The 15,771-nt window shown below is 43.3% G+C and overlaps 1 protein-coding gene and 1 long non-coding RNA gene across 7 annotated transcripts in view, besides 6 other annotated features; one reads left to right on the forward strand and one right to left on the reverse strand.

Annotated features, from left to right (window-relative positions):
• SUCLG2 (succinate-CoA ligase GDP-forming subunit beta) overlaps nucleotides 1–8,605 on the reverse strand; it is a 294,153-nt gene extending 285,548 nt beyond the window's left edge. For all 5 annotated transcript variants that reach the window (XR_007095763.1, XR_001740350.3, NM_001177599.2 and 2 more), the window contains exon 1: nucleotides 8,496–8,605. Coding sequence is in view for 3 of the 5 variants with exons in the window: in NM_001177599.2 (NP_001171070.1) it covers nucleotides 8,496–8,579 (84 nt within the window). In the remaining 2 variants the exon portion in view is untranslated. The remainder of the gene's footprint in view (nucleotides 1–8,495) is intronic.
• Nucleotides 1,498–1,792: a silencer, noted in NCBI's record as "tiled region #7041; K562 Repressive non-DNase unmatched - State 15:Elon". NCBI's record gives its function as "weakly represses a minimal TATA promoter and a strong SV40 promoter by Sharpr-MPRA in K562 cells {active_cell/tissue: K562}" and the evidence as "EXISTENCE:reporter gene assay evidence [ECO:0000049][PMID:27701403]".
• Nucleotides 1,498–1,792: an enhancer, noted in NCBI's record as "tiled region #7041; HepG2 Activating non-DNase unmatched - State 5:Enh". NCBI's record gives its function as "activates a minimal TATA promoter and a strong SV40 promoter by Sharpr-MPRA in HepG2 cells {active_cell/tissue: HepG2}" and the evidence as "EXISTENCE:reporter gene assay evidence [ECO:0000049][PMID:27701403]".
• Nucleotides 4,728–4,777: an enhancer, noted in NCBI's record as "active region_20049". NCBI's record gives its function as "activates an Ori minimal core promoter by ATAC-STARR-seq in GM12878 lymphoblastoid cells {active_cell/tissue: GM12878}" and the evidence as "EXISTENCE:reporter gene assay evidence [ECO:0000049][PMID:35858748]".
• Nucleotides 8,217–8,896: a silencer, noted in NCBI's record as "silent region_14512". NCBI's record gives its function as "represses an Ori minimal core promoter by ATAC-STARR-seq in GM12878 lymphoblastoid cells {active_cell/tissue: GM12878}" and the evidence as "EXISTENCE:reporter gene assay evidence [ECO:0000049][PMID:35858748]".
• Nucleotides 8,217–8,911: a biological region, named in NCBI's record as "H3K27ac hESC enhancer GRCh37_chr3:67704843-67705342".
• Nucleotides 8,412–8,911: an enhancer, noted in NCBI's record as "H3K27ac hESC enhancer chr3:67704843-67705342 (GRCh37/hg19 assembly coordinates)". NCBI's record gives its function as "activates a minimal SCP1, AML or CMV promoter by ChIP-STARR-seq in naive H9 embryonic stem cells {active_cell/tissue: H9 hESC(naive)}" and the evidence as "EXISTENCE:reporter gene assay evidence [ECO:0000049][PMID:30033119]".
• SUCLG2-DT (SUCLG2 divergent transcript) overlaps nucleotides 8,690–15,771 on the forward strand; it is a 293,017-nt gene continuing 285,935 nt past the window's right edge. For both annotated transcript variants that reach the window (NR_109992.1, NR_109993.1), the window contains exon 1: nucleotides 8,690–9,095. This is a non-coding gene — a long non-coding RNA (SUCLG2 divergent transcript). The remainder of the gene's footprint in view (nucleotides 9,096–15,771) is intronic.

Here is a 15,771-nt window from a genome sequence, read left to right on the forward strand (position 1 = left end):
GCTGATCCCTACTTCTATTCAATGCTGTGGGCAAGCCAATCAATGCTGTGGGCACGGGGAAGGGAGGGGAATGGAGGGGAGGGCAGGGGAGGGGAGGGGAGGAGAGGGGAGGGGAGGGGAGAATATGGTGCCCTAAATGGATCAGGCCACTCCCCAGACACTGTACCCAGAGCCCTGAGCCCTGCTTCAGGCAGGGAGGAAAGCATGGTGCTGTTCCTCTCCACAGGCCTCCCGACTTCAGCCACAGACAATAAGATGGGGGTGGATCCCTTACTTAAAACCAGACAATATCGAAACAATAAAGTTTGGCCGGGCACGGTGGCTCACGCCTTAATCCCAGCACTTTGTGAGGCCAGGTGGGTGGACCACCTGAGGTCAGGAGTTGAAGACAAGCCTGGCCAACATGGTGAAACTCCATCTCTACTAAAAATACAAAAATTAGCTAGGTGTGGTGGTGTACACCTGTAATTCCAGCTACTTGGGAGGCTGAGTCAGGAGAATCACTTGAACCTGGAAGATGGAGGGTGCAGTGAGCCAAGATCTCACCACTGCACTCAAGCCTGGGCAAGAGAGTGAGACTCTGTCTGAAAAAATATAAATAAAAATAAATAAATTCAGCTTTCAGAGACACTGAAATGTGAAAAAGAAAAAAAAAAGGTATCTTACAAAGAAATATAAGTAATTGTCACAAGATCACAAAGCTATGGAGTGCTGAAGGCAAGAGTTAAACCCGGGCAGTCTGATTCCACTCACGGTGTACGTCTAGTATCCTGGCATAATGACTCACAGCATTGAATCGATGCCAAAGTCGCCCAAATGATCTCCATTCTTGCATTTCTCCAACCCTCTCCACACTATATCCAGAAAGAGTACTCTACGCATTAAACTGCCCTTGCCACTTCACTGTCTAAAACCCTTCAATGGCTCCCTATTGCCCTCCTCAAGAACAAGCTTAGCTTCATTACCAGGCCTACCAGGATCAGCGATCTTGTCCTTGCTCTTGTCTCTGGCCTCATTTCTCACCGTAAACTCTACAAGGCAGCCCTCCTGAACCTCCTTAGGGCTCTCAAGTCACAACTCTGGGACTAAGACAGCCCACAAATGGAAATACAGCAAGCACAGGGAGAAATGGATGGGAGCAGAAAAAAGATGCTAGTCCCCCCACTCCAACCCACAGGACCCAAACTTACACAAACCATGCCTTGTGCTTTGCCATGTCTCCATTAACAATTCATATATTATGTCAAATCCCTCGAATTTTAAAATAAAAATAAAATTCAAAGGTAAATGTTAGAAATCTATGCATTTATGGCTACTGCCTAAGTCCTATTCTTTTGGAATCATTTCTAGAAAGGGTAAAAGCTGACCATACTCAGTACACTGGTCAAAGTCTGAACCCAGAATACCAGGAAACTCCATCCTCCAACACCATCCCCCAAAGCCCACTCTGCAAAGGCAATGACATTTCACAATTTCTCCAGCATTCTTGAAACGCTGAGGGCAGTAGTTTGTGCTAAGCACACAGTGAAAGTCATGTCCAGTTGGCCGTTGGTTCATGCTGTGGCTACTGCCAATTCTTTAAGTGTTCCCTCACCTCAAATCTTTGATGCACGAGGTCCAGCAGTCGTCACTACTAAGTCAACACTGAGACATGTAAATGTTTGTGAAATGAGTAATAACCAGGATGGTACAATTAAGCTCCCCATGAGCTCCTCCCCACTGCCACCTCAGGCCTCACCAGACATTCATCCCAACTGTGGAATCCTGAAGATAATCAGAGCCCGGGAGGCAGATCTTCACCCCTCTGAGCCTCAGATTCCCCAGAAGTAAGCTGGGAACAATAACTCCTATTTCACATGGCTACTGCAAGGATGAAGTGAAATAAAATGTATGGAAGCACCAAGCCAGTGACTAATCCTGAGATGGCAGCACATGATAAATGCTTACTGAATCTGGGAAAGCAAAATTATTCTAGCTCAATAAAGCCTTTTAAAAAGACCAGCGAATTTAGCTTCAAATTCAGTGCAAGAGAAATAATCATCCTGGGCCCACCATCGGGTCATATGCCAAATGTCTTAAATATCATCTTATTTAATCTTTGTAACTATCTGTGCAAATGATCCCCTTTTCAAGTAACAGTAAATTGAGGCTCAGTCAGGTTCAATAATTTGCTCCAGGTTGCAGAGAAAGAACATGGGAGATCCCATAAGAATTTGAACTCCGTTGAATTTGAACCCAGACTTCGTGTCTTTAATCTCCCTACTACTCTGTTGACAAGACCCTGAAGCCAGAGAGAGAGGAAGGTGGATAAGAGTCCAGAAAGGGCAACCATGCCAAGTTGATCAGCACACCTTCATCAGCACAAGTCCAAATGACCAAAGGCGAGTGTCACTCAAGGGCAAAAAGATGGGGAAAGGTAAGCAATCAGTTTAACTGCCTAGTTCAGCCCAACTAGGATCTTTCAGTGACAGAGCTTAATAATTTAACAGCATAAGTCCTTTATCAGCATGAGGCGGGTGACTCCCTGGCACTGTGATTTTAAGCAAATGACTATAGGGCCTCTCTATGCCTCTGACTGCTTCTATAAAACATGGAGACTGTGAAATCTCCCCTGCAGTGATGTTGTAAGGGTTAAAGAAATAATGTGTGGAGATTACTTCACGCAGCCTTGTTATATACTACATGCCCAAGGAACAGTTCTATGATTATGAGGACCCTTTCACAACTAGGATTTCTATAGCCCCTTCCTTCTTCCTCATTTGCTGAAATGAGCCACATCATCCCTCAACTTCTCCTGTTCCTTACCTCCCTCTCCCTTCTCTGTGCACCCTACTCATTGACTGAGACCACAAATGCTTACTGAATACCAACTCCGGCCAGCTGGGGAATCACTCACGCTGTTACATTAAGCTGTATCACTTTGCCTTTGTGGAGCTTACATTCTTAAACTTGTAGGAGAGCGGGGAAGACGGCCAATGAACAAATAACACTACCAGGTACAGTCAAGTGTTATAAAGAACAAAGCAGATAAGGGTACAGAGAATAATCCCTGGAAAGGCAGGGCTGGGTAAGGTAATTAGGAAAAAGCCTATCTGAAGAATCAACGTTGAATCAGAAAGCTGATGAAGACAGAGATCAGGCAATGAATGATCAGAGGGAATAGTTCTGCAGACACAGGGTAAGTGGTTGACAGAGGCCAACAGTATCTTAGAAGGCTAAGAACACAGCTCAATTGCAGTACCCACTATGTTTTAGTATAACTACAGGTTTATAGGCCAGTTGTACCTCTGTGCCCTCTGAAGGTAGGAGCTGTGTTTCTTATTCCTGTCTGCATTCACTCAGTCATATTTATCTGCCCAACATTCTATAAAGAATGAGCTGTAATAAGCATTCAGAAAATATTTGCTACATAAATGATATTTGTTTGATTTTTCAGTTGTGGGGGTTAATTTTATTCCCTGCTGAATTCTGGGCTTTCTGAAGCCCCATTTAGACTTCTTTGTATACCCAAAAGTGCCATTGTCCCTCAACTTCTGCTATCCACCTCTCCCTTCTCCATACTAAACTGCTCACTACAACTACTCTCCCCCTGTTCTCTCACCTCTGCCTCTGCATGAATTCACCTGGACTGCCTTCTTCATCACCTCCACCTTCCTCACAAACTCTCAAGATTAATCTCCAAATTTCATTAGTGTACTGATATTATCATTTGTTCAAATATTTCCAAATCTCTCAAGTTCTTCAGTAAAACTTTTCCATCAAGTAACAGAAAGTGATGCATCAAGTGACAATTGCAGATTGAGTGGTAAAGACAGCTGAAGGACAAATGATCTGAGGTTACTTATGTAATTTCTTTTCCTCCCCCAAATATGCCATATTTCAGTGACTTTCTGGGCTTTGCGCCTGCAGAACTAGACCAGGGTACGAGGGCAGGAATGTTCTCACTACTGTGGGTCTGTGCACTCAATCACTCACCCATAAAAGAAATGCCTTATTTACAGCAAACAAAACCAATTTAGGACAAAGCTATCACTTAACGGTCTTCCCCACAAGGAAGGTCAATAGTTTAGCATCTAAATTATTTGAGATGGATTCCCTTTTCTAAAAGCAGAAATTGCAGCTGTACTTCATTTTAAAAAAAGAAAAAAGTCAAATATTTATTCTCCTAGGCAAGAGGGAGATACAGGTAAGTCACAACTTCCAATGCAGCCGCCACAGCCTCATTTAGCTGATAAGAACTTGCCCATAACCTTTAGTCCTTCACTTACAAAAGTCATGCATTCATCTTTCTCCTCCCACTTCCGTAAAGGCAGAAAATTAGGCTGGAGCCATTCTTTCTGAGTATACAACAGCAGGGGCATGGGTTTAAGCAGTTTCTTTGACAACATACATTCCTCTGTAAGTCCCTGGACAGAAGCTCTGGGCTGCACAGAAAACATACAACAAGGATTCTAAAATAGGAGGCCTGGCCAGGCACAGTGGCCCACATCTGTAATCCCAACACTTTGGGAGGCTGAAGGGGGCAGATCACTTGAGGTCAGGAGTTTGAGACAAACCTGACCAACATGGCGAAACCCCATCTCTACTAAAAATACAAAAATCAGCCAGGCATGGTGGCGTGCATCTGTGGTACCAGCTACTCAGGAAGCCGAGGCAGGAGAATCGCTTGTACCCAGGAGGAGGAGGTTGTAGTGAGCCAAGATCAGGCCACCGCACTCCAGCCTGGGTGAGAGTGAGACTCTCTTTCAAAAAAAAAGTAAAATAAAATTGGAGACCTGAAAGGCAGTGCTTCTCCTACAAGAGAGCTCCATGAACTTCCACTAGCCAAAGAGAGGGGAAATACCCTAAGAGACAACAAAACTGTGCTTAGACTTAAGAACCATTTCAAACTCAGTGCCCTCAGCCAACATTTCCCCTAAGACTTGACTGGCAGTATGTACTCATATCTTGCCCACCATGGCAGTGCCTGGCTATATTACACCACCAAGTACTGCACACACTTTTCACTTGGCTATATGGACACAGCAACATGGCCCCTGTCTACCAGGATTTAGGTCTTTGGAAAGACTTCTAACCATGGTTAGACCCTTACTGCTAAATTCACTGAACACCACTCTGCTAAAAGTTTCAAAGCCAGCCTAACTTAGATTTATAACAGGGGGCGTGTACAGTACATTAATTACATGCCTGTGCTTTGGCTGCCAGGACTGGGATTCAGCCTCTGTATGGTTTAAACCCCTGAAACCTCCTTAGCAGACCCTGCAGGTCTCCACATGATTTGGCCCTTGTCTTCCTCTCAGACCTAGTCTACTACCACTTTCCCCCTCTAATTACCTAGACATGCCCAGCTCATTCTCATCTCAGTCTTTGCACTTGCTGTCTGCTCTGCCTAACACACTCTTCCCCTTAGTCTCACCTAGCTGGCTACCTTTCATCGCTCAGGTCTCAGCTCATATGTCAAAAAGGCCATCTCCAGGATCACTTACATATAATGCTGAGCAATGTGAAGTATGTGTATGCCTACATATAATTTCACCTAAAGTACAAAACTGAACAAAACCAGCGTTATAAGTCAGGGGACTGGTGACCCTTTGTAGGGTGGAGGTAGTGACAGGCAGGAGCACCAGGGGGCCTCTGGGTTGTTGTTAAATGATCGTTTTCTTCATCTGTACCTAGTTAGCTGGGTTTGCATTCAGTTTATGAAAATTCATCAAGTTGTTCATTTGTAATTGTTCATTTTTCAGTATGTCTTATATTTCAGTTTAAAAAATTATGCCAATCAAAAACACACCATATCAAATAGGTCTCCTCTGATCATCCAGTCTAAACTACCCTGCTGTGAAGCAATCCATTCTCCATCCCATGACCCTGACTGATTTTCTTCACAGAATCTGTCATTGGCTGAAATCATTTTCATTATTGGTTATATGTGTACTGGCTCACTCTCTCCCACCTCCATTAAAATAAAGTATCACGTGGCCAAAGACTCTGCCTGCCTCATTCACCATCCCCAAACCCCAGGGCCTACAACAGTCCTGCCAAATGGTATGGGCTGAATAAAAACTATATGAAAAATAAGAAATGACTAAAGTGGACCCTTTAAGGACGTACTATCAATCAAAAGTCAAAACAGTAAAGCTAACAGCAAAGGTGAAAAAAAAAAAAAAACTTCAATGACACTAAGCATCAGGAATATGTGTCAAATGTTAAATTTAACCATAGGGAGGAGGTAGACAAAATGTCATTCTATGGGTATCTTTGAGAGACCAGTTAAAGTTATTTCTCTAAGCAGAAACTGGGTCTTTTATTTCTGTACAGACAACAGTTTTTCACAAGGCCTGGTGGTATAAAATAGGTCTGGGCCAAGAGTGGCAACAGATTTCTGAGACACTTGGTGAGGATTCTTAAGTATGATGAGAGAAGTGGGCCATGTTTAACTGCAATGTCTGCCACGGGCAAGGGACTATGGAAACGTAATATCAAATCAGTGTACATGAAACAGATCATAGGAAGCACCCAAGAATTTGAAAATAGCAATACTCACCATTTTTATGGACAATTCTAAGATGGTCATAAAGAAAAAAATAAAAATGTGTCAGTGGTGCTAATGACTTGGATGTTATATAGTTACTACTGGCATGCAGATTAATTTGCATGTTGATATAATATATTTTCATGAGGAAGTATATACTCACCAGGAAACAGCATGGTGTAACGGAAACGTAAAGGTAAGCCTTTACTCTGGAATGCCACAAACTCTCACTGTATCGTTGAATATGTCATTGAACTTCTTTAGGCCTCAATTTCTCTACCCATGAAATGAGCTGGCTGGACTAAATGATTGCTAATGTCCATTTCCAGTTCTTGGACACTGTGTACCTTTCTATCTTTAAAAAAACCTACTTTTACCTTCTAAGAATTTACAGAAAAACACATCATCCACAAATATGTAAATCACAGTAACCAGATGGGGCGTGCTAACAGATCTTTTTACCCAGTTTTCTTGACAAACCAAGAGTATCTCTCCCCAACCAGATTTTCTCCTGTGTTGCGTTCAGCCTCTTATTTCTTGGTTAGGGAAGTAGGCTTCACATATTTCAGCTAAACACTCTGCATTTTCAGTTTCTCTGTACAATTCATGAGTTTTCACTGCCCTGGGCCCCATGTTTCTCATCAATTCAAGTCTACACTCATGGTAAGCACCCTAGTTCTTGTTTTTTCTAACACTTAAATAATGAATAGGACTTCATCTCCTAGAGCTATTCTCCTTACTCTATTACAACAGTTATTAGTGAGTTTTAATTAGACAAAACTGCCATTCCTTTTGCTACCTCACTATACTGTCAAGCACCTATTAAGAATATTACAGTAGTAAGTATTAGCACCTTTTAAATTTACATTAACAATAACAGAGAAATGGGGAGGCAGGAAATGAAAGGAGAGGGGTAAAAATAGCTCACAGATGTCATAACCAAAGTTTAGAGGAACTCAAAAAATCATTAATCACTATTTTTTAAATTTTCTAAAAAACTATACTATGCACATCCTGGTTAAAATTGTATGAGTGATAATTTGCCTCTCATCAATTAAAAATGGGGAAATAGGCAAGGTCATTAACTCTGCTGTGGCTGAATCCCAGACTGTGCTTTCTTTAAAAGGGAAGAGAGATAGTCTACGGAGACTAACCAGTTCAGTGGTTGAGTGATTTCTACAAGAGTCATCACCAACTCAAAACTTTCCTGAAGTCCTTCTGACTATTTTAACGCTTGCCATCTGCAGAAGGTAAAAATCTGCTAGAGGCCAAGTTCCAATCGCTATCCAGCCCACCACTGACCCTCTTTGATTTCATTCTCCATCAACAAGGAGGACATGGACAGGGTCAATGGTCTAATGCGTTTTAGTGACAGCCCTGATTTTTCATTGGAAAGAGGAGAAAGATCGTTTCCCATTTTTCTCCTTGACCCACGGATTTGACCAACTCAGGCACATTAAAAGTCTGCAAAAGCAGGTAGCCTGCAGGAAGTTCACCCTAGGGGGTGAGTTCCTAGTTGGGCTGAAACGGGTTTCCAGGCATGTTTATCACGTGGTCTAAACGTGCTCAGGGTTAGTGCCAGAAGTTTGAAAAGCAGAATTAGTAGAGCTGACAATAAAACCTCAGGGCTCCAAAACCCGGTCCAAGAAACTTTTCTTAAACTTGCGTCCAGCGCCTGCTTCAGCGCCTTCGCCATGAGTCTGCGCGGGCAGACAGCGGAGACTCTAGTGCGTTGGGTCGCTCATACCCCGAGGCACCCGGGGCTGCCGCCGCGCCGCCCCTGCCCCACACTGGAGCGGGGTTCCCTGCTGCGCCTGGACCCGGCGCCGCGTCACCTCCCGAAGTGGGGCGCCCGAGGGGCCGCGCAGGGGGTCAGGCGGAGACCAAGAGTAGCAGGGGGCGAGGGAAGCCCGGGCAGGCCGGCGCCGCTGCTGGCGCCCGCAGCTCCTGCCCCCACGCTCACCTGGGACCCGGCCGCCAGGAAGCGGGGCCGCAGCGCTAGGGCTCGCAGAAGCTTCCCGGCCTGCGCTGCTACGGGGGACGCCATCTTAAACAGGAAACTCGGCACGGGGCAGTAGGGCGGGCGCGGGCAGGGGAAGGAGGCGGAGGAGGAGCAGCGGGAGGAGGGGTCAGAGGAGAAGCGGGCGCGGGGAGGAAAAGGAGGAGGAGGCAGAGGCGGTCTGGGCCGGGCCGGGCCTGACCCCTGCGTCCCGGGGGCACAGGCGTTCTTAAGGCTGCAGAGCCCTGGGTCCCCCACCCGGCCCCGGTTCACTTTGAGCGGTCCCAAGGCCTGAGGGCCTACTGTCCAGTCCCCAGGTTATCGTCCTGAGCAAAGACAGACCCCGAGCCCTGCGGTCTTGGGGCTCAAACAGTCCCTGGATGGCCAAACAAGCAAATATTCGCCATGGCAGTGGGTGCTGGAAGGGTGGCTCACGGAGCTGACGCCCTCCGCAGAGAACCGTGGTCTAGTCCTGCGGTCACGAGGCCTATCTGGGACAGTGGTGTTTGAGCTGAGACTTTAACGAATAGAGACAGGTGAGGTTCCTGCAGCCCAGGGCTTCAGGTGAGTCAAGGAGAGGCCATTGGAGGCTCTCCATCCCTTAAGGAGTTGTGGGTGTTTTGTTTTGTTCTATCCTTAACCTAAAATCAATGTAAAGCTGAGAGATGAAGCCGGGTGGGTCGGTTGGGGACTTGGAGAACTTCTCTGTCTAGCTAAATGATTGTAAATGCACCAATCAGCGCTCTGTGTCTAGCTAAAGGTTTGTAAATACACCAGCCAGCCCTCTGTGTCTAGCTAATCAGGTGGGGACTTGGAGAACTTTTCTGTTAGCTAAAGGATTGTAAATGCACCAATCAGTGCTCTGTGTCTGGCTAAAGGTTTGTAAACACACCAATCGGCACTCTGTAAAAACGCACCAATCAGCGCTCTGTGTCTAGCTAAACGTTTGTAAATGCACCAATCAGCACTCTTTAAAAAGGGACCAATCAGCACTCTGTAAAATGGACCAATTGGCACTCTGTAAAATGGACCAATCAGCAGGATGAGGGTGGGGCCAAATAAGGGAATAAAAGCTGGACACCGGCGCCAGTAGTGGCCCCTAGTTGGGGTCTCCTTCCAGGTTGTGGTTGCTTTGTGCTTTTGCTTTTTGCAGTAGCTCTTGCTGCTGTTCACTGTTTGGGTCCGCACTATCCTTATGAGCTATAACACTCACCACAAAGGTTTGCAGTTTCACTCCTGAGGTCAGGGAGACTGCGAACCCACTGGGAGGAATGAACAACTCCGTATGCCCCACCTTCGAGGGCTGTAACACTCACTGCAAAGGTCTGCAGCTTCATTCGTGAAGTCAGCGAGACCACGAACCCACAGGCAGGAACAAACAACTCCGGACGGGCCACCTTTAAGAGCTGTAACACTCACTGTGAAGTCTGCGGCTTCACTCCTGAAGTCAGCGAGACCACGAACCCACCGGAAGGAAGAAACCCCAGATACATTTGAACATCTGCAGGAACAAATTCTGGTCACGCCATCTTTACCGCGAGGGTCTGCAGTTTCATTCTGGAAGTCAGCGAGACGATTAAGAACCCACGGGAAGGAACCAATTCCGGACACAAAGCTATTGGAGGATTTTAAGCCCAGTAATCAGAGTGATAAAAGCAACATTCATTTGGAGCTGTGAACCCCAAATACCTGACACAGGTCTCAATCAATTTAAGAAGTTTATTTGGCCACAGTTAAGGACACGTGCCTGTGACACAGCCTCAGGAGGTCCTGACATGTGCCCAAGGTGTGGTGGAGGACACAGCTTGGTTTTATACATTTTAGGGAGATATGAGACATCAATATATGTAAAATGTACATTGGTTTGGTCCAGAAAAGCGAGACAACTGGAAGCAAGGAGGGGCTTCTAGGTTATGGGTAGATAAGACACAAAGGGTTGCATTCTTTTGGGTTTCTGATTGGCCTTTCCAAAGGAAGCAATCAGCTGTGCGTCTATCTCTGTGAGCAGAGGGATGACTTTGAATAGAATGGGAGGCAGGTTTGCCCTAAGCAGTTCCCACCTTAACTTTTCCCTTTACCTTAGTGATTTGGGAGTCCCAAGATTATTTCCCTTTCACAGAGTTTACGCGAGTCTAAGCAATGTGCATATAATAAAAACAACAGCAAAGTTACTGAATGTGTGCCAAGCATTAGACAAATATAAACTTGTTTAGTCTTCATAGCAAAGTTTTAAATGAGTAGAAGTGTACAATCCCCATTTTGCAGAAGAGAAAACTGAGGTGCACAGAGGTTAAGTAACTTGCCAGAGGTGGCAGGTCTGATAAGAGATGAGATTCACATCCCTTCCACCCACCCCCAAATTAAGCACTATTTTAGATTTTTTTTTTTAACCTTACTCATTCTTGAGCATATGATCATGAAAAAAGGTACAATGTGACATAAGTAGACAGCTGTTGCTACTAGCTTCTTTCCTAATCTCTCTCTTTGGAAAGTGGGGGAGCTGAGGATTTTTATTTTAATATAATTTCTAGCCCATTTCGAGACATAGTTTTACCCACTAGATGTAGCATCTTTTGATGATAAGGATGATGATGATTGTTTAAATCAATTATTGTCACGATGGTGGCAAAGTGGCAAGGTCTAACTCCATCCTACATTTATTAGTCTGTATTCTACTCAGAAAAACTGCACTCTTTCCATCATCTCCATTGATGAAAGAAAAACTTCAGCTAAATTAAATGTAAAGGAGTTTAATTGAGCAATGAACGGTTCGCCAATCGGGCAGCTCCCAGAATCACAGTGGATTCACAGAGACTCCAGCGCAGCCACGTGGTGGAAGAAGATTTATAGAGGAAAAAAGGGAAATGACTTACAGAAATCAGAAGTGAGGTACAGAACAGCTGGATTGGTTACAGCTTGGCATTTGCCTTACACAGTTTGAACACTCAGCAATGTATAAATGGTTAAAATATGGCCACTGGGATTGCCAAGACTTAGCTGTTGTTTTAGGTCCATACTTCTAAGTTAGGTTTTCAATCTTGTCTACCTATTAAGCTAGGTTGCAGTTCGTCCACAAGGACTCAAATATAGAAGTACCGAGTCCTCCTTAGGCCATATTTAGTTCACTGTAACACTATTCGTCGGTGAATTGTTTTATTCACTTGTATCACTGTGGACTCATGGATTCTTTTTTATTAAATGGCAAACCGATGCTCTTTCCTGATACATACACTCTGCTGCCTCTGTTTTCAGTCATTTAATCTTCACAGGAGCCCTGCAAATGGGGTCCTACTATTATTCCCATTTTGCCAGAGAGAAACTTGGCCACAGAGTTCCACATGACATTTACATGACTCTAAGGTCAAGTAACTTGCCAAGGGTGACACAGCTTGGGATCAAATTTCCCAAAGCTGGACTCCAATCACTCTTAGCACCCTCCTCTTGACAAAACTGGATTTGAGTTTCCATATTGTTCATCATTACCCCTACTGGGTCCGCCGGGATAGAGCAAAGACTTGCTAATGTTTGAGAGTGAACGTTTAAACTTGGTGAGAGCTTGTGAACATTTTGCCAAAAGGAGGAAGACCACCTATAGAATTAATCAAAGGCTGTTTATTCAGACGTTACTATGCTAAGGGAGTTGGCTACTATCACTTTCCTTCCAAATGAGACTAGAAGTCGTTTGAAAGAAGTGTTAGTTTTATAGAGATAAAGGAGAGACTCTTAAGACTGTCTTTGATTGATGAGTGTTCTTTTAAGATGCGATTATTCTATTATGGGGGGATTTTTGAAAGTGGAGTCGGGAGAGGCTTTCTGATTGTCATCCAAGTACATTTGGTATTCTTTGATTTGTTTACTATCTACTGGTGCGTAACTTGGGGTCTTTCCAGGGTTAGCAGCCTCCTAAGAGTTTTCCTGTCTGAATTGGAAGACTGTCTCATCCTTGGTTCTGGGGTCCAAATCTTTCATCAGCAATTCCTCAGTGTCTTTACTCGTATTATCTCATTCTGCCTTCTCTGCAGGAAGGTGGTAGGGGAGAAGGGACAGAAGGAAGAAAGAGAACCATTTATGTAGCACCTCCAGTGTCTAGCACTGGACTTTGATTAGAAAAAGTAATCAATAAACATATGTGGAATGAATTGCATTATAGAGTTCCTCGTAAGATTTCTCCCTATTTCATACTCCCCGCTTCCACCCTCCAACCTCCCCCAAATAGGAATCTCTTTGAGAACAGGGAATCTAGATTCTACCAGAGTTCTGCACTGTGCTTTCCTGGAACAAGCATTAAGTTTTCAGCCAAACTGGATTGGATTCAAATCTGACCTCCACCCCCTTGAACACCTGTGACTAGGAAAATACCTGGTTCATAGGGTAGTAGTAAGTAGTCAATGATCAGATGTTGCATGTAAAGACCTTGCACATAGTAAAGACTTCATAGATGTTCTTTTTCTTCCTCTAGTGGGTCCATAACAAATATTTGCTTGATATCAAATGTGAAACACTAGGGCCAATCTGAGATGTAGGTTAGGAGACCCCTGACACTTTGTAATTTATCTTGATAGCACTGGAGAATTACAGAGATGTACAAATGCCAGACAAAAGTATTAAGAGTCTAAAGTGGTTGCCTCCAAGAAGAGGATAGAGAGTAGTGGTCAAGGAACCATTACATTTTGTTTTAGAGTTTCAAATATTCAGATTCCTGGTCTCCACCTCATACTCATGAAATCAGAATCACTTAGGATGGAGACTGGGACCTGCATTTTAAATAATCTTTCCAAAGTGTTCTTTAGTTTGAGAACTAAAAAAGCAAACAAAGCAAACCATAGTGGTGAACTCTGAAGATGTTTCCTGGTGAATCCAAAGACGAGTTACTCTGCTATCCCCCATTTGGTTCCTAAATATAGGACAAAAAGTTGATAAATCATAGATGGAGATGATGACTGGTGCTTTCAGAGAGCCTTGACACCTGGTACCAGACCCATTTTCTACCCGTGGTCTAAATCGGCTGCGACATGTAGAAGCATTGGCTTAAGGTGAATGAACAGCTATTCTACGCTTTTGCTGTGTCAAAATGGCAATTGTGAACTGCTTGAACAGTAACTATGGCCATAGGCAATAGCACTATTGAAAGCATTCTGCACTCTGATATCAGACTGAAGCACAGAGGTAGACATTGCAAGTGTTGACTCTGTGATTTAAAAGCTCCATGACCCTGGACCAGTTACTTAACAATCTCAATTCCTTGATCTGTGGAAAGGGGATTATGATAGTACCTATTTTGCCAATGAGATGCATCCTCAAACACTTGAGATCCCAGTGGCTGTTACCTACCATACCTTCATTATTTGACTAAGAACTCTTTTTCGTGTGTTTATTTCTTTAGTATTTACATCTGTGAACCTCAGTTTTCCTATTAGTAAAATGAAGGTCAAGTATGACATCTTATTTGAGCTGTGAGTTGACAGTGTAACACTTCTCATAAACTGCATGCATTTGAAATATGAAGTTGTAAAACTCTACGATTAAGCTTTGTATTTCTAGCACCTTGGCTATACTGTTTCTTATTCAGTTAATTGTTGCAAAAAGAAAAATAAAAACATCAGCAGGCCTATATGCCTTCGCTTTCATCTTAGCAGTGCCTGTTAACAGTGAAATAATGTGCTCATTTTCATATTCGCACTGATTACTCTAGGGGCGCAGATTTACCAGAGAGACATATCATGAAACCCAGCAAAGGGATACTGCATCTAGCAGTTCTGGTGGTGTTTTATCATTACCTTTTCACTTGAGCATAAAAACTGTTTGACAAATACTAATTGTAACCAGCAGAGCTGAATAGAATATTTTAAGAAACAACCCTAATTTTCATGAATTACATATTTGAGTTCATACTGCTGCATGTCAAGAATGAAAATCACTATTACAATGATGAAATAAAGGGCATCTGTGGATTTCATCTGGTTAATTTTTTAATGGATAACAGATTTCTGGAATTTACAGGAGACTAAACTTTTTGGTCTTTCATTGTATGCATAGGTAATATCACTGTTGCTATTTGTGATAGCCATTTTAACCAGTGATTCAGTTGTATTGTTTGCCAGTGGCACAGAAAGAATGGTCATTGTGCTCAAGTTATTTTTCCCTCTTCAATAATGCGTTAAAATGATTAATTTTGATGGTATTTCTCAGCAGCTTTATTTAAATGACGGTCCTCTGTATCTGTGGGTTCCACATCTATGATTCAACCAACTGCAGATTGAAAATATTCTGGGGAAAAAATAAAAAATAACAATAATAAAAAATGATACAAGTAAAAAATACAGTGTAGCAACTATTTTCATAGCATTTACATTGTATTTGGTATTACAAGTAATCTAAAAATGACTTAAAGTATACAGGAAGATGTGCATAGGTTATATGGAAATATTATGTCATTTTATATCAGAGATTTGAGCATCCATGAATTTTATTATCCATGGGAATTCCTGGAATCAGTCCTCCATGGACAGTGAGGGACGACTATGTAAGGTGCCTAGAAGAAAAGGGATTTATGACAAAAACTGTCTCCTTTGCCAACACTGAAGTGTGCTCAAGAGAAATTCTCACTGCATCCTGGAGAGAATTCACAGGAAGCAAGTTTAGAGCAGTGGTGACAGCTCAAAGTTAAGATAAGAAAGGAGGAAGAGTAAGGAACATCATTAACTTAGGGAAGGCCCAGCTGGAGACAAGGTCAGTGGAAGAGACTAAAAACAGAGAACAAGATGAAATGGTGGAAACAAGGGTGATGACATTCTTTTGGCAGGAAGTTTGGAGCTGGATGAAGAAGATGGTAAAAGCTGAGGAAAGAACATTTACACAAAGGACTGTGGAGGTTCTTGAACCGAAAGAGAAAAGTAGCATTAGATTGACTGTGGAAAAGAAGTTAGAAACAAAACCTAAATTCTTATTGCAATTGGAACCTGCGGAGTTCAGCACCTTCAATATTATTAAGATAGCTTCTTTTAAACAGTAAAGTAAAAATTAAAGGAACATTCTTTTACAAATGTCCTGCCTCATTATAAAGTGAGCAGCCACAGCAGTGGTTCTTTTTCTTCTTCTCTTTTTTATTTTTTGAGATTGAGTCTTGCTCTGTCACCCAGGCTGGAGTGCAGTGGCATGATCATAGCTCACTGCAGCTTTGAATTCTTGGGCTCATGCAATCCTCCCACCTCAGCTTCCAGAGTAGCTGGGACTATATATA

Source organism: Homo sapiens, chromosome 3 (genome assembly GCF_000001405.40).
Source record: "Homo sapiens chromosome 3, GRCh38.p14 Primary Assembly".
NCBI lineage: Eukaryota > Metazoa > Chordata > Mammalia > Primates > Hominidae > Homo > Homo sapiens.